The following is a 19,950-nucleotide window of genomic DNA, read 5'->3' as shown; positions in this document are numbered from 1 at the left end:
CGGCCTCCCAAAATGCTGGGTTTGTGGGCGTGAGCCACCATCCGGCCAAGGTGGTCCAAATTTGGACCTGCCAGGCCTTGTCTCTGCTGTCTCTGGATGGTGCCAGCCACCCTCCCCAACCTCCCCACCCCCCATTGGAGGCCCTTGTCAACACCTCTCTGTCCCCACACCAGCCCCTTTCCTTAGAAAGCCCTTGCCCAATGACAGAGCCTCTCTGGTAGTAAAACCTTTGCAGGCCCCTTACACGTCACAAGGTTGTGGGGTCACCAGGGCAAAGATAGGGGCAGTCCCTTTTGGAGATGAGGAAATAGGTTCAGAGAAATTCTGTTACTTGTCTGCTGACCTAGTGGCATCAAAAGCAGAGCAGAGAAACCACCAAGTCCCCTTGTTCCCAATTCAGCTCTCCAGGGTTCCACCGTGGGTTCTTGGGGTTGGGAGATTGAGAGAGGTCAAAAGCCCTTCATAACAGGGATTGTGGAGAAATTAAAGTGACTTTGCCTGCCAGCTTCTGGAAGAGCTGGGGTCAGTAGCTGGAGGCGTGTCTTGTGTATGCAGCCTCCCGCCCTTGGCCTTGCTTGTTTTCTCATCTGACTGTTTTAAGGATCTATCTGCCTTCCTCCTCCACAACCCCCACCTCCTCTTAGGAGTATCACACTCTTCTGTGCCCTGGGAAGGATATGGCAAAGTGGAAGAAGTGCAGGAGTGCCGTCTTAGGGTCTTATGAACCAACTTTCCTTATTTGTGAAGTGGGGCAAGAAGAGTAGTGCTTCTTTCACCCCCAGTTATGAGGTCTTGGGAGACCCGATCATTCATGTAACAACAGAAGATGGCTTCCTACTCTAGCCAACCAACCCCAGCCCTGAAGTTCCCAATTCCGACCAACCCCAGCCGTCGCGCTCGCGAGCTCTGGGGACCCGAACTCCACTTCCGGGTTCCGCGCGGAGAACCCCACACCAAGAGCCCCGCAGCGCTGGCTTCTACTCGAGTTCCCTCCCATTCTCTGCCAAGAGGCTCCTGCCTCTCCTCCACCGCCGCCCCCGCAATCGCCCTCACCACCTCCGGCCCTCGGGGGAGGGTCTTGAGTTGTTTCCCCGAGAGAAGAAATCAGACGTCTTAAGCTTAATCAAATGTTTGCGATCAGAATTTGGGGTTACAGGCCTCGGTCCTGGGCGCAGTGGGGAGCGTCCGACCCCGGCGGTCCCCCGGAAGGGCGCTCTCGGAGGGAGACAAGCGCTGGAGCGGAATCAGGCAGGCGAGGCTGCTGGGCCAGGGCGCGGGGAGCTCTCCGAGGTGCTGAAGCCGCCCCAAGGTCCGCCCAGCCTGGGCGAGGCCCGGAGTCCTGAGGCTACGGCCCGTGCGGTTCCCAGCGACCTCTGAGATTGGCTGCCCGCTCTCCGGGATCTTGTCCCGGGCTCCGGCCCCGGCGACCTTGGGCAACCGACTGTCCCTCACAGGCGGCGGTGAACTGGCGGTCCAGGCTGCGCCTGGACTGGCGGCGCGTCCCATCCCAGGGCTGGGAGAGCAGGGGCGCGCCCCTTCCCCGGCCCGGAACGCTGAGCAGGCAGCCGAGCGGGTGCGGGCGAGTGGTCCGCGGTGGGCTCTTCTCTCCCCGGCCGAACCTCTCCAGTCCACCCGCTCCTGCGCTTCCCCAGGCCCCGACGGCGCCCCTCCTCGCGGGCGGCCCGGCCGGCACGCAGCGGCGCGGCTGGAGCTCCCGGCCCTCGACCCCGACGGATCCCTGGCGGCGCAGCCCGCCCCACCCACCCGCAGCCTCCCGCTGGGGTCAGACTCCCGCGCCTCGCGGCCAAACCGCCAGCGGGGCCACGCAGGGCGCTGAGGTCCCGGAGAGGCGCGAAAATAGCTCAGGGTCCCGGGAGTATGGTCAGGGCGGAGGCGGGAGCGCGGCCGGACCCAGCTGCCAGCTCCTTCCCCAGCCCGCGAGGGGGCGCCGCGTCCCCATGACAACGCGGACACCCCCACCCCCCGGAGGGCAGCGCCCCCTGCTCCCCTGCGTCGCTGGCCGTGGGCGGCGCCCTCTGTGCCCAAGCAGGGAGCTGCCGGCCAGCCCCCGAGAGGGGCGCGGACCGCCGGGGTCTCCGACGCCTCGGGTGTTGACCCCCGCGCGTCGCCGCCGGGTGACCGGCCCGGGGCGGGCGGCGCGGCCCCGCCACGATTGGCTGCTTCCTCGTGACATCACGCGGCTCGGGGAAAAGTGCGAGCGTGAGCGCGAGTCGGAGCCACAGCGCCGGGAGCTGCGGGCGGAGCAGGGGCCGCCCCTCGACACCCCGTCCCCGCCCCCGGCCCTCGGCCCGGCCGCCCGCCCCGCCGGCCCGCGGGGCCGCGCGTCCGTCCCGCCGTCTGTCTGGCGCGAGGGGAGCTGGGCAGAGGCGGCGGGTAAGTGGCTCCGCGGCGGCGCGGGGGCGGGGGGCTCGCCGGGAAGAGCAGGAAGCAGGTCCCCGGGACGCTCTGAGGCTCCCCAGAGGTGGGTTCGACTGGGACAGGGCGCCAGACCCCCTCCGGGGCGAGCGCGGGCCGGGAGCGGCAGTGGGCCGGGGCTGGGGGACCCCGCTGGAAGCAAGGCCGGGGGCTCTCGGAGGCTTCTCCAGGTGCGCCCGGGTGCGCCCGTGGGAAGGGGTGGGCATCCAGGATGTCGGGGGCGGGGGATTGCCCGCCCACAGACCCCACGGAGCCAGGGGCAGCCGTCGGGGGTGGGACCCTGTACTCCAGCCCTCCCACTGGCGGCTCAGCAGGGCGCCGGGCGCTGAAGCCCCAAAGAGCCCTTTTCCCGCCGTCTCCCCGCCCTCCCTCTCCCTCCACCCCTTTGCCCCCGCGCTGCCAGCCCACTCCGGCCCCTGGAGTCCTCCATCTACGACCTTGAGCCCCGACGGAAAACACCCCTGCCCTCCCCGACACCCCTCCCCCGCTCCGGTACTACCCCCCTTTGCTGCCCAGCCTCCAAGCCGGGGTCCTCCAGCTCCAGGCCCCCTCCTCCGGCCCCGCAACGGAAGTGTTGGGCACAATGTCGGTGCCAAATCTTCGCCTCTCCCTCCCTTGGACTCTGGAGTCTCCTCTCCCGCCCCAGGGACAGATCCAGGGGCCACAGCCTTCCCAGAGCCATGGAGTGAATGCCCAAGAACCGAAGACCTACACCCCAAACCACCCCACGGGCGTGCGGAGCACCCCCTCCGGTCTCGCCCGGGGAAGAGGGGTGTCGAGGACTCGGGAAACACAGTGCCCACGCCCAGAGGCTGCAGGAACTGCGTGCTAGGGGCTTGGAGGGAGGGCGGGGCACCCGAGAGCCAGGGCTCCTTCGACCACGGCGGAGACATGGAGGAGCCTCCAGATGGCCTAGGAAAACACGGCCCTCGAGGCCCGCCCGACCCTAGCGTGAGAAACTGGGTCCCCACTTTGGTCACAGGGGCTAGACAGTGCCTCTGGGGTAGGGTGCAGGGTGAGGAGAGAAGGAGGACAAGAGTCTTGCACTCGCCTGACCCGAGCTCTGTCCGGGCCTCCGCCTTGTGGGTGCACTGCGGATGCCCTCTCGCCGCGAGAATGGGCGGCTTTTGGCAATAACGCCTCTTAGGGGAGTTATTAGAGCTGAGCGTGCCTGGTGTCCCTCAAGGCCAGGTTGGGCGACTCTCGCAGAGGCCCCTCGACAGATGTCAGTCAGAGGCTAGGACTCTGCCACATCTTTAAGGACTTGGACACCTCTGGGCACCGGGCTAAGACGGCGTCCCAAAGTTAGGTGGCCCGTCGCAGGCAGCCCCTAGTAGTCTGGCCTCCTCGCCCGCACAACCCTTCACCCACAGGCCAGGTGCAATCCCGATGCAGGCTCCTGGCCCGACCCTCTACGCGCTCAGGCGGACAGCTAAGGTCTGGCTGAGTCTCCGGCAGGGGCGTTTGGAATGTGACCGGTCACCCACTCTCGGCCCTGCATTTGCTTGTGCATGCAAGTCCACAGGTGTAGAGGCACCCGAACCGTGTGCATCCTCCCGGCCACAGCACCCTAGGCACGCACACGCATGCACATGCACGTGTGCACACGGCGCGGCATGCTCACGCGCTCTCACGGGCGGACTGGTATCCAGGCGTGGCCGTGCGCACACACACGCACATGCATACAGCTACTAGCGTCTACTCGCGCTCCCCCGTAGGCACACACAAACAGAACTCGCACTCGCGCTCCCGCCCACACGTTCCTCGCAGGGTGCCGGGTGGAATCCGGGCTCCCTCAACTTTCCCACCCGAGAACCCCGCGCGGAGCCGAGGGCAGCTCTGGGGCGGCGTCCGACGGGGCCTGGCGAGGGGACCCCGCGTCACTTCCCCGGGAGGCTGTGCCTGAGGGCTCCTCTGGGTTCGCAGTCGCATTGGAGTTGGGGGCGGTGGCCAACGGCGGCCGCACGGTCTAGGTCCGGAGCGGGCACCAGGGACCGACATTGCCATCTAGCGGTGCGCACAGCCCCGGCGGCGGCGGCTCGCTCCCCAGATGCCAGGCGTATCTGGATTCCAGGGAAGGCGCCAGAGGGGGTCGGAATGTCTGCGGGTGACCCCGAGGTGTCCAAAACGACGACAGCTGGGGCGGGGCGGAGTCGGGGAGACCCTGAGCCTCGCCCTGTCAGCACCTGGCAGCTCCCTCACGCGGGCCAAGAGCAGGACTTAATCACCGGCCATCCAGTGGTCCCGGCTCAGCCCAGCCGCCAGGATCTGGGAGAAGACAAGACATCGCTTGTCTTCTGGGAAAGCTAAGTCGAGAAGCCAGCAGGAATGTGAGGGGACCCTACCCAAGCCTCACCTGGACAGTCCCTCAGTTGTGTGGTTTTCGGGTCGAGGGGAGCAGAGGCAGGAGGTCAACTCTGAGCAGTAGCACCTTGGACTTTAAGAAGGAGCTTCCCGGGTTCTTCTGCCCCCACCCGTACTTCCTAACCTGGTGACTTTGGGCCAGTTGATTAACATTATCCTCATCTATAAGAGGATATTTACATCTGTAAGATGAGGACACTAATAATACCTGCCTTTTCAGGCTGTTGTAAGGATTAAACCAGATAATCTATATTAAAAGCTCAGAGGGGTTCCTGACACGCAGTTAACACTCAATAAACAAGAGCTATTATGTTTTCACATTCTGCACTTCTAGCCCCGTTTGTTATCATCCTGCTGCCCTGTATCCTGCCTTGGGAGGCTGAAGTGAGTTTCCTTGGGGCTGGCTGACTGATTACTCCTGCCTGCCCTGTCCCCTCCTCCACGTGAGTGATTGGGGGAGGGCAGCCTCCTGGTGCTGGAGGGGACAGCTCAGAGAGTGACACCTGAGCTTCTATTTCAGAGGCTCTCAGAGCCAAATGGGGTTGTCAGGGACCCCAAGAGAGGGCAGTATGTGGTCTTTGCCCTTGACTCGTTGTGTGACCTTGGGGGTGACAACACTTGCTCTCAGCCTCTCCTCCTACGAACCAAGGATTTAGAACAGGAGAACTTGAACTATCAGGCTAGGAGGCTGGGTCTGTATCTGCGACGGTGGAATAGAAGGGCTGGGGTCAGACTTGGGGCAGTTACCCTGGCCCTTGGCCCCAGCCTGCAGTACATTTTTGTGTTTATGTATAGAGATCAAGTTTAGGTGCCAATCCCTATAGCTGCTGGGGAGGATGTCCCAGGACAGGATCCTCTCTATTCTGCAAATGAGAAAGAGGTGCAGGAAGGGGCAGTGGATCGTCTCAGGCCACAGAGCCAGAGCCCAGGCTGCGGGTTAGTGCTCCTTCCTCCACAGCCGGCTGCCGCGCCCTCTCTTCCTCTCACACACAGACGCACAGAACTGCGTATCCGACCATGCCTGCTGGGCTGGCGTGGCTGTGATGGGCCCGCGTGCGTCTGTGGAGCGGTGTGTGTGTTGGCGGGTGTGAAGGAGGCTGGGCTGAGCGGCTGCCCTGGCACTCAGAGCTGGCGTGGGCCTCCCTCACATGGAGGGAAGAGGAAGAGGGGGAGGAGAGCTAAGAGGAGCCTGGTGGGAGGGAGGGCAGGCTCAGGGAAGGGCCTGTGGTGGGGACTCCAGCTAGGGCGCCGCCCGGTGTGCGGAGTGGACTGTGGAGGGGAGAGGCGGCCCTGGCAGCCCTTCTCTTCCCTCTGGGACAATTCTTTCACCTCACGGGTCCCCAGTTGGGCCTCAGGGTTCTCTGACAACCTAGTGACCCCTGCACTGCCTCCCTCCCAGCTGCATGCCCTGTGGCTGGAGCTGAGGACTCCTTGAAGGGGATGTGACAGTTGCAGGTACCTCCTGAAGCCCCTTCTGCAGGGACTCTCCTCCTCTCTGGGGTGCCCAGCTCCATGCACCGCCTCTGGTCCCCTGCAAAGCCTTCTGGCTCCTGGAGCTCTTTGGCCTCCTTCAGCCAGAGCTCTTAAGTTACGGGACTGCCTTCCTCTCACCACCTCACCCCGCACTTAATCCCACCAGCAACATAGTGCAAGAAGCCGTGAAACCTTGGTCAGGCTTTTAACAGCTCCGTGCCTCAGTTTCCCCATCTGTAAGTAGTAGAGAAAAAATGGTATCTACCTCATAGGTTTGTTATGAGGATGAAATGAGTTAACACTATAAAAAATGTTGCCAGGCATGATGGCGCCTGGAGTCCCAGCTACTCAGGAGGTGAGAGGATGGCTTGAGCTCAAGAGTTCTAGACCAGCCTGGACAACATACCAAGACCCTGTCTCTACAAATAAATAGATAAATAAATAGACACTTTTTTTAAGTGTCAAAAGTGCTTGGCACTTAGTAGACCATCAGTGTTAGGTGCTCATACATACCCCGATTATTGCCTTTGTCCCAGTGTCTTCTACAGGGGTTGGAGAGCAGGTGTTAAGAAATGACCGAATGGGTAAATGGATGAACAGAACACCTCCCTCCAGAGCCCACATGCTCGTGGGCCTCTGGGACCACTCTCCTCCTCCTCTTGCTTCCCTGAGCTCCCCCAGCACTGGCCTCTGTCCAGGCCTTGCGCTGCCTCCAGGCCTTTGCTGTGGCTACTGCCCCTGGCAGGGCCACTCTCCACAGCTCCTCCTGTGGCTGGCTCCTCATCACCCAGATGACCTGGTGGGTGAGGCCACCTAGCAAGGAGTCATGCCTGTCCTGCCTTCTGACTCACTCTCTCATCACCCTGCCTTTTTTTTCTTTTGTGGCTCACGTGTTTGCATGTCTCCCCCCATGAGGCAGGGGGCCATGTGTGTCTTATTCACTTCTGTAGCCACAGCACCCTGAGCAATGCTTGCCACATAGTAGGTGCTCAATTAATGTTGAATGAATGGGCAAATGCGGGATGGCGGGACAGAGTTCTCTCAAGGCATTCTGCCAGAGAATGTCCCTCTGTCACCTTGAATCCAGTGTACCTCCAGATGACTCCCCCATTCCCTCCTGTAGTTCATGCTTTTCTCTCCCCTTCCTCCCCAGACACGGCCTACCCACCCCTGGCAACCAACATGGCCAACTTCACACCTGTCAATGGCAGCTCGGGCAATCAGTCCGTGCGCCTGGTCACGTCATCATCCCACAATCGCTATGAGACGGTGGAAATGGTCTTCATTGCCACAGTGACAGGCTCCCTGAGCCTGGTGACTGTCGTGGGCAACATCCTGGTGATGCTGTCCATCAAGGTCAACAGGCAGCTGCAGACAGTCAACAACTACTTCCTCTTCAGCCTGGCGTGTGCTGATCTCATCATAGGCGCCTTCTCCATGAACCTCTACACCGTGTACATCATCAAGGGCTACTGGCCCCTGGGCGCCGTGGTCTGCGACCTGTGGCTGGCCCTGGACTACGTGGTGAGCAACGCCTCCGTCATGAACCTTCTCATCATCAGCTTTGACCGCTACTTCTGCGTCACCAAGCCTCTCACCTACCCTGCCCGGCGCACCACCAAGATGGCAGGCCTCATGATTGCTGCTGCCTGGGTACTGTCCTTCGTGCTCTGGGCGCCTGCCATCTTGTTCTGGCAGTTTGTGGTGGGTAAGCGGACGGTGCCCGACAACCAGTGCTTCATCCAGTTCCTGTCCAACCCAGCAGTGACCTTTGGCACAGCCATTGCTGCCTTCTACCTGCCTGTGGTCATCATGACGGTGCTGTACATCCACATCTCCCTGGCCAGTCGCAGCCGAGTCCACAAGCACCGGCCCGAGGGCCCGAAGGAGAAGAAAGCCAAGACGCTGGCCTTCCTCAAGAGCCCACTAATGAAGCAGAGCGTCAAGAAGCCCCCGCCCGGGGAGGCCGCCCGGGAGGAGCTGCGCAATGGCAAGCTGGAGGAGGCCCCCCCGCCAGCGCTGCCACCGCCACCGCGCCCCGTGGCTGATAAGGACACTTCCAATGAGTCCAGCTCAGGCAGTGCCACCCAGAACACCAAGGAACGCCCAGCCACAGAGCTGTCCACCACAGAGGCCACCACGCCCGCCATGCCCGCCCCTCCCCTGCAGCCGCGGGCCCTCAACCCAGCCTCCAGATGGTCCAAGATCCAGATTGTGACGAAGCAGACAGGCAATGAGTGTGTGACAGCCATTGAGATTGTGCCTGCCACGCCGGCTGGCATGCGCCCTGCGGCCAACGTGGCCCGCAAGTTCGCCAGCATCGCTCGCAACCAGGTGCGCAAGAAGCGGCAGATGGCGGCCCGGGAGCGCAAAGTGACACGAACGATCTTTGCCATTCTGCTAGCCTTCATCCTCACCTGGACGCCCTACAACGTCATGGTCCTGGTGAACACCTTCTGCCAGAGCTGCATCCCTGACACGGTGTGGTCCATTGGCTACTGGCTCTGCTACGTCAACAGCACCATCAACCCTGCCTGCTATGCTCTGTGCAACGCCACCTTTAAAAAGACCTTCCGGCACCTGCTGCTGTGCCAGTATCGGAACATCGGCACTGCCAGGTAGGCAGGCAGGAGTGCCCTAGGAGGTGCTGGTGTTGCGTGCGTGTGCTGGGGGGACCACACGGCTCACTTGCTGTGGGGAAGAGTTGCAGGCACCATTCTGCGTTCACGTTTGCTGAGGAGGAAGTTCAGAAGAGGCTCTGTGGCTGCATTCAGAGACCAGATCTCTGCTCAGGCTGAGGAGGCTCACCCCAGGGAGTGTCTGAACTGGGGCTGCCTGGCCCACCTCTGTGGCCCTGCTTCAGCGAGCTGCGGGGCACTGGCCTGGGTGGGCACCTGCCCCACTGTGACCAACCATCAGCAGTGCTGGAAGAATGGACATCTGGATGGGGGCCGAAGCCCAGGGCCCCCTCAGGAAGAACAAAGGGGCCAGTGCTTGGAAAAGGAGGCTTGGGAAGGGAGTAGAAGGGTGGGGTCCCCCATTCTGCTGTAATCGGTGCTTTCTGCCCCCTTGCACCCCGCATGTAGGCTCAGCCCCCTCTCCCCAAATCCCACTCCAGGGGCAGAAATCTCCTCTGGCTGCAGCTACTTAGCCAGGTTCTGGGTGGGTATGATGGAGGCCAGGTCCCCCCCGCCCCAGCAGCACTGCCCTTGTCACATTAAGATGGGGCAGCTGGGAGGTCAGAGGTTCTGTCTCAGGAACTGAGGTCTGGCCTTCTGCGATCCCAGGCTGAGCCGTGAGTGGTCCACGTATTCAGAAGACAGCCCCCTGCAGCCCCGGCCTTAGAAGGCTGTCCCAGGTCACACATCGAGTCAGGGTGAGGCTGTGGTGGATGGCATTCCCATCTGCCCTCTTCAAACCTCTCACCCCCTGGCTTCTGCAGGGTGGAGGCCTGGGTCACACAGGCAAGAGGAAAGGGGTCAACCTGGTGGCTCACTCGGGTTTCCATGACAGTGGGAAGGGGGGAGGTGGGCAGTGAGGTAGGCACGCAGCCCTCGCATCTGCTCTCCCCCATGGGTAGAACCTTCCTGATTGGCTGTGGGTTGTATCAAAAGACCTTTGACTGGGTGAGGCTGAGATGGGTGTGGTGGTTCCAGTGAGTCAGCCAGGTTCCCTTCCCCAGCCCTGGTCCCTGAGGGAGATGAGGACCGAAAGGCTTAGGTGACTTGATGGGGAGCACCCTTTCAGGGGCCCTGGAAGAAATGTTTGTAATTGTTCTGCTTTTTCCATGAGCTCTGGAGAGCACCCACCACCAAGCCCCCTGAAACCCACCAGTCCCTACAGCCTGGTCTTTCTCCCCACCTTCCCACTCCCAAACACATTTCCACAGCAAACTCCTTGGGAAGGGGCTTTTATATATTAAAAAAGAAGAGCTTTTATTGGGGGGAAAAAGTCAGTTTATTTGATGTGTTTCTTAGTAATGGAATTGTGGGGAAGAACAAAAGCGGGCTCTGGGACTCACATTGCTTTGGGGGAGGCTCAAGCTTCCCAGAATCCCTTGTCCCTCCCCACTTTGGGCACTTAGGGGTGGGGCTGGGGAGTGAGAGGGACAAGGCAGGGCATGATTGATTAAAGCTAACGAGCAGACAGAAGGCACTGGTGGGTCACATCTCGGGCCTGGGAGAGGGAGGGCGTGGGCCAGGCCCCATGTGACACCAGGGGCTCCTTGGCATCCAGGCTTGGCGTCTAGTCCTTTCCCTTCCCTTTCTTGGCTGTAAAACAAGAAAGAAATATTAATACCATATCAGCAGTTAGGCTGACCCATTGCAGACCGCCGGCTCCACAAACACCCGGGCATCAGGGAAGGAGAAGATTCTGCCCCCTAGTGGTTTCCAATCAGCTGACTCGGAAGCAGGGGATGGGGCAGCCATTGTGATGTGGACATGGGACATCCCCAGCTTCCTATTTCCACTTGGGATCAGAAAACCTTCAAGTTTCCAGTCCTAGTCCTGGTCACAGCAGCCCTGGGCATCCTCAGCCTCCTCACCTGAGAAGCGGGCAGATTCACCCCTGCCCTGCTGGCCTCGCTGGGCTGAGTCACGAGTGAGCTGAGAGGCCCAGGGTGGGCCTTGACCTCCTCCCAACACTAGAAAGGGCAGAGCTGACCAAATGCTGCCCGTGGCTGGAGAGCTGACAAAGGCAAGCCGTTCCAGGACACTCTCCCTGGGTCCTAAGCCAGATGCTCCAATGGAGTAGTTTGAGTTGGTCCCTATTTGGGCCAGGGAGGATTTATGTCCCCAGCATCACCTGCGGCCTCTCTTGTAGTGCCCATCTTCAGACTTTTCCAGGCAGGGAAGCCAAGTGAGGCGATGTCAGGAAGCCACTGGCCAGGACTCAAAACTTAAGGTTTAACTTGGAATTGTCCCCTCACAGGCGGGGGGGGGGGGGGGCAGCCCCCCGCGACAGCCCCACCCCCTTCTCCTTTCGCTGACCTTTGGCCTTTGCTTTGGTCTTGGGGGTGCAGGGCTTGGTGACGCGGATGGTCTCCTGGCACTGAGCATTGTAGCGCGCCTTCTTCAGGGTGCCTTGGCGGACTTTGGTGCCTGTGCCCCCATCACACGCACCCCAGTTCTCAAACTTGTACTTGCAGTCGGCTGGCGAGAGAGCGGCCCAGGTCAGCGCTGCGCGGCCCGCGGCCCCGCCCTCCGCCAAGGGTCCGCCCAGGCTTCGGCGAGGCTGTGCCCCCCGTCTCCTGCCCTCTGACTGCGCCCCGCCTCACCTCCAAACTCCTTCTTCCAGTTGCAGGGCACCCTGCACCGGATGCGCTGGGTCTGGGCCCCGCAGGTGCCCTCGCGGAAACCCACGCCGCAATCCTTGCTGCTGGGGGTGCAGGGCCCCCAGGCCCACTCAGCGCACTCGCTCCCCGGGCCGCCCTTCTTCACCTTATCTACAACGCGCGAGGAACAGAGTTCAGGACTGGGGCACGGGGAGACTCCCTCGGGAGCCGCCTTCCTGGGGTTCCAGGCTAGGAACCCAGGCGGCCCAGCCCAGAAGTGGAGGGGCCTCGCCTGCCCGTCCCCAGCCCTCCTTCGATCATCCCCCATCACCTTTCTTTTTGGCGACCGCGGAGGTGAGCGCCAGCAGGGCGAGGAGGGTGAGGAGGAGGAAGCCTCGGTGCTGCATCCTGAGGGGAGAGCCCGAGTCTGAATCCCTGGCCCGTCCCCTTCCCCACCGGGGGCCGCGTGCAGGGCCCTCCCACCTCCGCGTGCTCCACTTTCCAGGCCCCAAGTCGGGCTGCTAAGGTGGCGGCGGTGGGAAGACTTGGGGCGGCCCCTCGCCGCTAGCCCGGACGCACCGCTAAGAGGCGACTCCCCGGGGGACGCCTCGAGCCCAGGACGCAGCTCAGACCCCCACCCCCGCCTCCAGCCCCCAGCCCCTAGATCGGCCGCGGCCGGGCGGACCAGGGGCCGCCGCGCGCTCACTCGCTCGCTGCCCGCGCTGCTTCGCTCCCTCCCGCGCCGGGCCCGTCCCGCTCCGGCCGCCGCGGCCCCTTTTGTCTCCAGAACCGGTCTGAGCCGGTCACATGGGCCCCCGCCCCCTCTCCCCACCCCCCCAGGGAAGGACCCGCCCCGCCCCCTCCCCTCAAACCCGCACCGCCCCCGACCCCGGCGTCCCCGCCCCCGCTCCAGCCCGCGCCCCCCGCGCTTCTACTCCGGCGTCCGTGTTCCCGGCCCCGCGTCCTCGCGTCTCCCCGCCGGTGCCCTCTGCGCTGCGACGGCGGCCTCTCCCGGCCCCATCTTCCGAGCGGTGGTCTCCCGACCCCGGGCCCCGTCCCGCCCGCGCACACCGGCCCCCGGCCCACTCCCTGCGCCGCCGCCCGCTGCCCCCATCCCAGGTCGTCCCCTGCCGTACGCCAAGGCCCGGGCCGTTCTCAGGCCTCAGCTTCTCTTGCCTGCCGCGGAGCCCCGGCGCCTGTATAACCCGCGGGACCCGCTCCCCTCCACGGCCGGCTCAGCCCTGGCGCCCTGCTGGCTGCTGGGGAGGGGGCGCGGCCCACCTGGGGCGGTTTCCGCGGGTGGGCAGGGAAGCGCTCTGCTGTGCTGGGGGGAGTCTGGGACCCGGTCGCCCAGAGAAAGCCACGGGTGCGGTCGCCCAGTGCCTTTCCGGGAGCACAGGCTTGAGGGACTGCGAGTGGGGGTCCTGGGGGAGGAGCCCGCAGGCCTGGATTTGGTGAAACTTGGCGCTGACAGGAGCCGTCTGAGAAGTTCCAGATCCAGCCACATCGGCAGCTGCAAGTGCCCACCCCCTCTAACCCTGGGCCTGTGGCATTGCCTCGCCCGGTTCCCCCAAACCGGGAGAGCCCCCGAGGCCTGGGGGAGGGGCTTGCTCAAGGCCACAGGGCAAATGGGCCACAGAACCCGGGCTCGCCCCCGCCCCACCCCTCTTTCACTTTCATTGTTGTTCTCCGCGGGAAGCGGGAAGCCGGAGGGATCGGCCCCGCCCCCGGCCCCGACGAGCGCGGCCGCCGGGCAGAGGTCAGGAACCGGGCAGGCCCTGGGACCAACCACCAAACGGGAGCCGGGGCCCCAGGAAGGTGCTGTCGACAGCGTCCAGTCCCCCACCCCGAGGACAACCCCGCAGCCCCCGCTGCTTGTTAGACCTCCCCCGCAAAAGAAGAAAAGCAGAAAAGAAAAAAAAATCCACTTTACTGAGTCACACCCAGCTGTAAACATGTCACCGTGAGAGTCCCGCCCCCCACCCCCAGGCCGCACAGTCCGCGATGAAATGACAGGGGAGCGGGGAGGGTCGCCGGAGCGGGTGCCAAGCAAGGCAGGGCAGGCAAGTGCAGCAGGCGCTGAGTTTCCGGGAGGAAGCCCGGAGGAGGTGGGGTGGGGCAGGAGCGGGGGCTGGGGACCCGGCCGAAGACCAGGGGGCCCAGGAAGCCTCTTCCCGAAGGCCTCCCCCTCTCCAGCCCCTCCACTCCTGGGAGGGCATCTGCTGCGGCCAGGGAGCGCCCTGCCCCAGAACCCCGGCAAAGGCATATCCAACCCAGCCGTGTCTTGTTCCCTGTGAGCCTCCGGGTCCGGCGGGGTCCTCAGGGGAACAGGTGAGGCCCCCCCAGCTCCTGAGTCCAGCCCTAGGTCTGGGCGGCTCCTTAGGGGGCGGCATGGGGCTCTTTCCCTGGGGCCTAGGTCCCCCCGTGGCCGTCCCACTGGAATGTGGCAGTGAGGTGGGCAAGGAAGGCGCTCGTCCCCTGGCCGCATTGTCCCTCCTGCTGCCCGTGGGCGGCCCGCTACACAGCCGTCTCCTGGTCCTCCCGCTGGATCATCTGGTAGTGCTGCCGGTTCTCCAGGTAGGCGGCCAGCTCGGTGTCCTGAGCCTTCTCAGCCCGCTGCCGGGGAGTGTCGCCCTGGAGGAGGGCGGAGCTGCGATCAGCAGGGGCCAGAGGCAGGCCTAACCCCTAGCAGGCTGAGAGGCAGGGGCTCTACCTCCCTGTGGCCTGGTCAGGGAGGGAGGCCTCTCTGCCCACCAGCTCCTCCCCTGCTGGCTCAGGTTTCCCAGGGTCTGGACTGTGTCTTCCCAGGGACAGCCCCCAGCCCCAGCTCCCGCCTAGGACCTTGGGAAAGGTTTGGTTGGTGCCCTCGTGGGCTCCCTGCCTGCCGTCTGCTCACCTGCTGGTCTGTCTTCATGAGCGAGGCCCCGGCCTCCACGATGTAGTGGCAGATGGTGCGCTGGCCCAGGGCCGCTGCTTGGTGCAAACAGGTCTCCCCGCTGGGGGAGCAGGGGCTGGCTGTGTACCCCATCCCGTCCCCTGATCCACCCATCTGTCTCCCAAGGGCCATCAGAAAGGGCAGGAAGTTCAGGGCTCTGGGGCAATAGGGGTGGCCCAGGGGATGACAGATGTGACCAGGAAGTTTATGGGCTCTGACCTGACAAAATGGGAGGGGTGGGGAAAAGGGTGGTTTCCGGGGTGACCACGGTTCTGCACTGCCCAGATACTTACTTTTCCTCCACCGCATCAAGGATCTCTGGGGGGGCTGGAGAAGGGGAGGTGGTGGTCAGAGAGGCCTGGCAGCCCCTCCTCCTCCCACCTTGGCCCCAGGCCCTGGGCTCCACTGCCCGGCTCACCGTGGTCCAGCAGGTAGCGGACCACATCCTTGCTGCCAGTGCTGACTGCGTGGTGCAGGAGCGTGCGACTCTGCTCGTCTCGGTGCATGAGGTCGCCCCCAGCTCGGTGCAGCTCCTGGAGCTGAGGGCAGGAGGCATGGCAGGGCTGGACCTCCTGGGGCCACCCCTCCTTCCCTGAGCTCACACGCTGGCCCACAGCCGGGTACACCAGCACAGGCCTGAAACGAGTGCGCTCACACATCTTACTCCTGAGTTGCCTCTGTGGGTCTCTCTGGAGCACACCGGAGGAGGGGCCTCTCACCCCACAGCCTGTGGGCTCTCTGGCAGCACTGGTGACCAAGCCCTGGAGCAGTGCTTCCTCTGACCTGCTCCTTTCTAAGCACCAGGGACAGGTGGACTGAGCTAGGAAGCCCCTACTAGGAGCCATCTATTGTGGCCTAGACAGAGATACAGTGAAGTGGAATGGGACGATCACTGGAGATCCCACAGAGGGCCAGACGATGACAGATGACAGCACCTGAGCAGGTCAGCTCTTGGCCCAACCCAGAGGCCTCGCTCCCCAGGGCCCGAGGGAGCTGCTGGGGGAAGGAACTGGAGCCTGGAGCTAGTACCTTACAGAAGTCGTTCCTCTTGGCAGCCTCAATCAGCTCTTCACCTGCACGGAATACCTGCCTGTTACTCTGCAGTCGGAGGCCTGGGCTTGGGTTGGTGCCTCAGTGGACAGGACTGTGCCGGCCAGGCATGTGTGCCCAGGGCTCCGTTGGTGCGTGAAGCTCAAAGGCTGTGTTTGTGTAAGGCTGTGTCTGGGCCCTATCCCCACCCCACTGAGCCTCCTGCCCCCAACCAGGCAGAAAGGAGGGGCCCCAGAGGGAGAGGCCTCACCTTGAGGGGGTGCAGCATCCCCTTGCAGTGACCTGCAACAGAGCATGATGTGCTGTGACCGGCTACGGCACAGGCCAGCTGGTCGCCCTCCCCAACCCCAACTGGGGGCATCTTCATCCTTTCCACAGTTTATTGAGTGCCTGCTACACACCAAGCACTATTCCAGGCACTGGGGATACAGCAGGGAAACGAGACAGAGGAAGGCCTTGCCCTCATGGAGCTTACATTCTAGTTCAGGGATACAAACAAGTCAAATAAATAAGGAGTTCTGAGAGCAGGGGTGCTCTTAAGAATTCAGAACAGGTGATGTGGCACCCCTGCAGAGGGGGTCCTGGGAGTGATCTCTCCAAGGAGGAAACAGCCAAGCTGAGATTCGAAGGGGATGGGGGTGGGGGAGCTCCGGAAAGATGGGGGAAGAGTTGGAGGCAGCGATGACAGAAGTCCAGTGGTGGCAAACACCTGATGCCTCAAAGAACCAAGAGAAGAGAGTGGGGCAGGACCATGGAGGTGAACTCAGGGAGGGGGCTGGGAGCCCAGTGCAATGACGGGGGGCCTGGGGAGAATCCACGTCCAAAGGGCTGCTGAGAAAGAAGCTTCTAGGTTGGGGAGTGGCCTGGTATGCTCTGCATTTTTAGTTGACCGTGGTATGGAGATGGGGGTTCGAGGGCACGAATGGCCACAGGGATATAAGAGCTGGGGGCCAGGGCGTGGCAGCCGGGAAGGGCTGGTGGCAGTAGGGGTGGGGAGGAGTGCTCAGGTGGTGGGTCCGGGGGCTGCCAGGACTGGCTGAAGGATGAGGTCCAGAGGAGGGAGAAGTCAGGGAGGGAACCAGGGTGGACGTGAGGCCGCTTCCCCACAGAACCACAGGGCTGAAGGCCGTCAGGTGGGCTTTGGCCAGGTTCAGGTTGACACCATTTAGTTAACTGGTGGAGGGGCTAGAAGCAGGGATTCAGAAGTCATCGGCTTACAGGTGGGGCTGAAAGCCAGGGGCTGGAGGGACGGGACACCAGGACTCACCGGGGCGTGGGTGAGCAGGGTGAGGTGGGGAGAGGGGAAGTGGGGGTTGGGAGGTCAGGCCGGGCCGATGCCCCCAGCAGCTCAGGGTCCAGGATATAAATCTCATCCTGTGCGATCTCAGTCACATAGTTGAGGTGCTCCTGTGGGGGGAGGTCAGGGCGGGAGGTCAGGGCACCTGACGGTGGGGGCCGAGGGGCAGCAAGGCTGGTAGACCTGGAGAAGCCTCTGCCATGAGCACAAACACTGAAAGGAGGTGGCCAGGCAAGGGGCCCTGCCTGTCCCTCTCCCACTCCTTCCCATTCCTGACACCTCCTCCGACTGCCCAGACTTTACCAGGTGAGCTGGCGCCTGACCAGAATGCCTTTGCTTCTGTGTCTCCCTGGATGGCTCTGGGCTTCCAGGCCCTCCTACCCACCCAGCAAGCCTTTGGTAGGTACCCCACTGCCTTTCTGGCTGGCACCGCCCTATACTCTCCAGTGTGGAGGGCAGGGCCGCACGCTGTCCATGCACACAGGCAATAGTAAAAGCTCTCAGAGGCATGAGGACAGAGGTGAGCCCATCGGGGGAGCTAACAGGGAAGGCGTCCCAGGAGAGGCGACCCTGGGGCCCGGAAGCAGCTGTGGCTGGAGCAGGCCTGCAATCGCTCACCTGGGCTCGGTCGATCCTGTAGAAGCGGCTGGCAGTGGTGGCTGTGGGAGAGAGGGCAGCTGAGGATCAGGGAGTGCCATGTCCAGGCCCAGGTCCTCTGCTGCCCCTACCTGGGATCCCCTAGGGAGGGAACACGAAACAGCTTGGCACCCTGGGAGTAGACTCACCGTCCAGGAAGCACCACTTGGGGGACAGTTTCTGGCATGTCGGGGACTTGGCTCCAGCACCATCGGGCTCCTGTTGAGAGAAGCAAAGGCCAGGCTGGGATAGAGTGGGGGCCAGGGAGGGAAGGGAACTTGGAGTAGGGGGAACCAGCACAGAGGAGGCTCCGCAGGGCGAGCTGGCTGCGGGAGGAAGAGGCCTGGCCTCACTTCCCACCACCCTCTCGGTGGGCACCTGGGGAAGCCCCCACCCCTTACCTGCTGGAGTCTCTCAATGTGGGCACGGCAGAGCTCTAGGTCACTGTCTCCTGGGACCACCACAGTGCCCAGCGGCACAGCTGGAGAACAGAGCACCTGTCAGCAGCTGGCTGCACCCCACAGCCCTGCCCAAGGGGGCCCCGGCTGCTTCAGCCCCTCCTGGCCACCCTGCCAGGCCGCCCCACCGCACTCACAGGCCTCCTTGAGCTGCTCCTTGTCGTAGTGCAGGGCCTCATAGTCGTGCATGCTGACGCGACTCACCTGGATGCGCAACTGCTCTGGCACCGGCTGCTGGCTGTCGGGCAGGGCCGGCAAGCGGGGGCTCAGCAAGGGCCCTGCCTTGGTGCCACCCTCGGCCTGGCACCAAACCACTTGCCGAGAGAAGGTCCCGCTCCACTCCCAACACCCCTGGGGCAGAGGGACAGTCAGCCCCTTTTACAGATGGGGAAATCAAGGCCCAGAGAGGGCAGGGTCTGGCCTTGGCACCCAGGGCACGTGGCAGGGTGGGACGTACTCGCTGTGCAGGGGGGCGGCGCTCCGCCGCTTGGCCTTCTGCACCATGGTGGCCTGGTTGCGCAGGGCGATGCGGATGCGTGAGGCTGCAAGCTTGCAGGGCTCGCCATCCACCTGCACCGGGATGGCCTTGGATGTGGTGAGCACCACCTCGCGACACTGCGTCAGCCGCTCGCCGTGTCCGCCCACCTGCAGCGCGGCCTGTGGGCACAGGAAGCTTGGGTCAGATGGCACCAGGGCTGGGGGCAGGGGGGTCCCAGACTCTGCTCCTTCCGAAGCAGAAACTCTAGCCAGAGAACAAAGGTGAGAGTGACCCCTGGCCAGAGGGCAGAGGGGAGGCTGAGACCCCAGGTAGGAAAGGGAAGGGACAGAGGCAATGAGGGTGACGCTCCAGTCAGAGTGGGGAGTGAAGGTATCCCGAGGCATAGTGAGGAGAGGGGGTAGGTGCCGCTCTCAAGCCAGAGGAATGAGACAAAGAAGGGAGGTGAGGGTGAACTAGGCCGCCGTGGCCCATGGAGGTGAGTATGGGTGACCCCTTCCACCTTTGGGCTGTGCTCCCAGGCACCATGGGCCCAGGGCCCACTCACCAACGACGTCATGGTGAAGCCAATGACCTCGAGGTAGCCGTCGTCATGCCGCTGGGGCTCAAAGTCGTGGTGCTCCCCAGGGTGGCCCCAGGGCATGGTGCCCGCACAGTACCTGCAAAGGCGGGCGATGACATGGGCCTCAAAACACAGTCTCTGCAGGACAAGGACAGCAGGGCTCCCCCCAGCTCCGGTAGCCCCCTCCTCACCTGGGGATGTTCAGGAAAACAACACACTGGGGTTTCAGGTCCTGGATCTTGGGAGTCAAGTCCATTCCATCACACTGGAGGCGGGCGGGGAGGGTGTTGAGGTGCATGTGCCAGGTGGCCTCCGCCTCCCTCCCTTCCGGCCCACCCACCCACGGCAGCCTGGCCCCGCTCACCACCACTCGGATGTGCTTGGCCAGGTCCTTGGAGCTGCCCATCAGGAAGTCAGAGAAAGCTGTCTGTGGGAGACAGAGGGCGTCACCATCTGCTGACAGAGATCTTTCCTCACCAGCACCCGGCAGGGCTCCTGGGGCCTGGTGGACACAGGTGGGCACGGGCACGGGTGGTAGAAGAGGTGGGCACAGGCGGGGGTGCAGACCCCACTCACCCCGGCGTAGAACATCTTATTCCGAAAGCGGCTGTTGAATTTCTCTGGGTTGGCCTCTGGGTGGAGACAAGCAGTGGGGGCCAGTGAGTCACCCCAGCCTGCCCAGGTGGGGTTGGGGGAGGGCTGGGATGGATGCCTTCACTGGCGGGAGCAGGGTCTGACCCTCCCGGGGACACTCCTGTGCCCACCCTGCCCTGGCCTCAGTGGGAGGCTGCCAACCTCGAGACTCGTGGAACTCCAGGGTGACGTGGGCGTCAAAGCCCAGGCTGAAGTAGTTGTTGAAGACATCCAGGGGCAACTGGAAAAAGGTCAAGGGACCAAAATGAGGGCTGGGCCTCACAAATGTCCCCGCTCCAGGGGCCTCGTGTGGCCGAGCCAGCTCAGCCCATCTG

The 19,950-nt window shown here is 63.3% G+C and overlaps 3 protein-coding genes and 1 non-coding gene across 17 annotated transcripts in view, besides 14 other annotated features; 1 reads left to right on the top strand and 3 right to left on the bottom strand.

Annotated features, from left to right (window-relative positions):
• Positions 449-1,223: an enhancer, noted in NCBI's record as "H3K27ac-H3K4me1 hESC enhancer chr11:46414340-46415114 (GRCh37/hg19 assembly coordinates)". NCBI's record gives its function as "activates a minimal SCP1, AML or CMV promoter by ChIP-STARR-seq in primed H9 embryonic stem cells {active_cell/tissue: H9 hESC(primed)}" and the evidence as "EXISTENCE:reporter gene assay evidence [ECO:0000049][PMID:30033119]".
• Positions 1,877-1,926: a silencer, noted in NCBI's record as "silent region_3312". NCBI's record gives its function as "represses an Ori minimal core promoter by ATAC-STARR-seq in GM12878 lymphoblastoid cells {active_cell/tissue: GM12878}" and the evidence as "EXISTENCE:reporter gene assay evidence [ECO:0000049][PMID:35858748]".
• Positions 2,107-2,196: a silencer, noted in NCBI's record as "silent region_3311". NCBI's record gives its function as "represses an Ori minimal core promoter by ATAC-STARR-seq in GM12878 lymphoblastoid cells {active_cell/tissue: GM12878}" and the evidence as "EXISTENCE:reporter gene assay evidence [ECO:0000049][PMID:35858748]".
• CHRM4 (cholinergic receptor muscarinic 4) lies at positions 2,237-10,224 on the top strand. Of its 2 annotated transcripts, none has more exons than NM_001366692.2 (2): positions 2,237-2,394; positions 7,427-10,224. In NM_001366692.2, exon 2 carries the CDS (start codon positions 7,456-7,458, stop codon positions 8,893-8,895), a length of 1,440 nt encoding a protein of 479 aa, NP_001353621.1. In that variant the 5' UTR covers positions 2,237-2,394; positions 7,427-7,455; the 3' UTR covers positions 8,896-10,224. The 2 variants fall into 2 exon arrangements, with proteins under 2 accessions (NP_001353621.1, NP_000732.2); NM_000741.5 differs by having other exon boundaries at positions 2,237-2,482.
• Positions 2,741-3,344: an enhancer, noted in NCBI's record as "H3K27ac-H3K4me1 hESC enhancer chr11:46412219-46412822 (GRCh37/hg19 assembly coordinates)". NCBI's record gives its function as "activates a minimal SCP1, AML or CMV promoter by ChIP-STARR-seq in primed H9 embryonic stem cells {active_cell/tissue: H9 hESC(primed)}" and the evidence as "EXISTENCE:reporter gene assay evidence [ECO:0000049][PMID:30033119]".
• Positions 3,345-3,950: an enhancer, noted in NCBI's record as "H3K27ac-H3K4me1 hESC enhancer chr11:46411613-46412218 (GRCh37/hg19 assembly coordinates)". NCBI's record gives its function as "activates a minimal SCP1, AML or CMV promoter by ChIP-STARR-seq in primed H9 embryonic stem cells {active_cell/tissue: H9 hESC(primed)}" and the evidence as "EXISTENCE:reporter gene assay evidence [ECO:0000049][PMID:30033119]".
• Positions 4,176-4,385: a silencer, noted in NCBI's record as "silent region_3310". NCBI's record gives its function as "represses an Ori minimal core promoter by ATAC-STARR-seq in GM12878 lymphoblastoid cells {active_cell/tissue: GM12878}" and the evidence as "EXISTENCE:reporter gene assay evidence [ECO:0000049][PMID:35858748]".
• Positions 4,416-4,475: a silencer, noted in NCBI's record as "silent region_3309". NCBI's record gives its function as "represses an Ori minimal core promoter by ATAC-STARR-seq in GM12878 lymphoblastoid cells {active_cell/tissue: GM12878}" and the evidence as "EXISTENCE:reporter gene assay evidence [ECO:0000049][PMID:35858748]".
• MDK (midkine) lies at positions 10,176-13,229 on the bottom strand. 7 transcript variants are annotated; one of them, NM_001270550.1, is made up of 5 exons: positions 12,830-13,229; positions 11,880-11,956; positions 11,552-11,719; positions 11,265-11,426; positions 10,176-10,544 (listed from the first exon to the last, which is right to left on the bottom strand). In NM_001270550.1, exons 2-5 carry the CDS (start codon positions 11,953-11,955, stop codon positions 10,519-10,521), a joined length of 432 nt encoding a protein of 143 aa, NP_001257479.1. In that variant the 5' UTR covers position 11,956; positions 12,830-13,229; the 3' UTR covers positions 10,176-10,518. The 7 variants fall into 7 exon arrangements, 6 of the variants coding, with proteins under 6 accessions (NP_001257479.1, NP_001012334.1, NP_001012333.1 ...); NM_001012334.2 differs by having other exon boundaries at positions 12,725-12,945; NM_001012333.3 differs by lacking the exon at positions 12,830-13,229 and adding an exon at positions 12,128-12,344 and having other exon boundaries at positions 10,212-10,544.
• Positions 11,360-11,654: a silencer, noted in NCBI's record as "tiled region #2210; HepG2 Repressive DNase matched - State 4:PromP". NCBI's record gives its function as "represses a minimal TATA promoter and a strong SV40 promoter by Sharpr-MPRA in HepG2 cells {active_cell/tissue: HepG2}" and the evidence as "EXISTENCE:reporter gene assay evidence [ECO:0000049][PMID:27701403]".
• Positions 11,360-11,679: a biological region, named in NCBI's record as "Sharpr-MPRA regulatory region 2210".
• Positions 11,630-11,679: a silencer, noted in NCBI's record as "silent region_3308". NCBI's record gives its function as "represses an Ori minimal core promoter by ATAC-STARR-seq in GM12878 lymphoblastoid cells {active_cell/tissue: GM12878}" and the evidence as "EXISTENCE:reporter gene assay evidence [ECO:0000049][PMID:35858748]".
• Positions 12,100-12,209: a silencer, noted in NCBI's record as "silent region_3307". NCBI's record gives its function as "represses an Ori minimal core promoter by ATAC-STARR-seq in GM12878 lymphoblastoid cells {active_cell/tissue: GM12878}" and the evidence as "EXISTENCE:reporter gene assay evidence [ECO:0000049][PMID:35858748]".
• Positions 12,640-12,839: a silencer, noted in NCBI's record as "silent region_3306". NCBI's record gives its function as "represses an Ori minimal core promoter by ATAC-STARR-seq in GM12878 lymphoblastoid cells {active_cell/tissue: GM12878}" and the evidence as "EXISTENCE:reporter gene assay evidence [ECO:0000049][PMID:35858748]".
• Positions 12,979-13,613: an enhancer, noted in NCBI's record as "H3K27ac-H3K4me1 hESC enhancer chr11:46401950-46402584 (GRCh37/hg19 assembly coordinates)". NCBI's record gives its function as "activates a minimal SCP1, AML or CMV promoter by ChIP-STARR-seq in primed H9 embryonic stem cells {active_cell/tissue: H9 hESC(primed)}" and the evidence as "EXISTENCE:reporter gene assay evidence [ECO:0000049][PMID:30033119]".
• Positions 13,270-13,479: a silencer, noted in NCBI's record as "silent region_3305". NCBI's record gives its function as "represses an Ori minimal core promoter by ATAC-STARR-seq in GM12878 lymphoblastoid cells {active_cell/tissue: GM12878}" and the evidence as "EXISTENCE:reporter gene assay evidence [ECO:0000049][PMID:35858748]".
• DGKZ (diacylglycerol kinase zeta) overlaps positions 13,459-19,950 on the bottom strand; it is a 47,629-nt gene continuing 41,137 nt past the window's right edge. For 5 of the 7 annotated variants that reach the window (NM_201532.3, NM_003646.4, NM_001199268.2 and 2 more), the window contains 17 exons: positions 19,778-19,856; positions 19,559-19,614; positions 19,347-19,409; positions 19,174-19,247; positions 18,968-19,079; positions 18,382-18,581; positions 18,062-18,162; positions 17,868-17,947; positions 17,616-17,685; positions 17,449-17,489; positions 16,801-16,940; positions 15,784-15,815; positions 15,513-15,556; positions 14,902-15,022; positions 14,777-14,810; positions 14,445-14,544; positions 13,462-14,182 (listed from right to left, as the gene is read on the bottom strand). In NM_201532.3, coding sequence (NP_963290.1) covers positions 14,066-14,182; positions 14,445-14,544; positions 14,777-14,810; positions 14,902-15,022; positions 15,513-15,556; positions 15,784-15,815; positions 16,801-16,940; positions 17,449-17,489; positions 17,616-17,685; positions 17,868-17,947; positions 18,062-18,162; positions 18,382-18,581; positions 18,968-19,079; positions 19,174-19,247; positions 19,347-19,409; positions 19,559-19,614; positions 19,778-19,856 — 1,464 coding nt within the window. In that variant the 3' untranslated portion in view covers positions 13,462-14,065. Of the gene's footprint in view, positions 14,183-14,444; positions 14,560-14,776; positions 14,811-14,901; positions 15,023-15,512; positions 15,557-15,783; positions 15,816-16,800; positions 16,941-17,448; positions 17,490-17,615; positions 17,686-17,867; positions 17,948-18,061; positions 18,163-18,381; positions 18,582-18,967; positions 19,080-19,173; positions 19,248-19,346; positions 19,410-19,558; positions 19,615-19,777; positions 19,857-19,950 lie in introns of all 7 variants that reach the window. The other 2 variants (NM_201533.3, NM_001199266.2) reach the window with 2 other exon arrangements.
• Positions 17,529-17,611, bottom strand: MIR4688 (microRNA 4688). The gene has a single exon (NR_039837.1). It is a non-coding gene; the product is annotated as a microRNA 4688 (primary transcript).

The sequence above is a fragment of the Homo sapiens genome, chromosome 11, assembly GCF_000001405.40.
Source record: "Homo sapiens chromosome 11, GRCh38.p14 Primary Assembly".
In the NCBI taxonomy this organism is placed as follows: Eukaryota; Metazoa; Chordata; class Mammalia; order Primates; family Hominidae; genus Homo; species Homo sapiens.
This window is presented reverse-complemented; position numbering and strand designations above follow the sequence as displayed.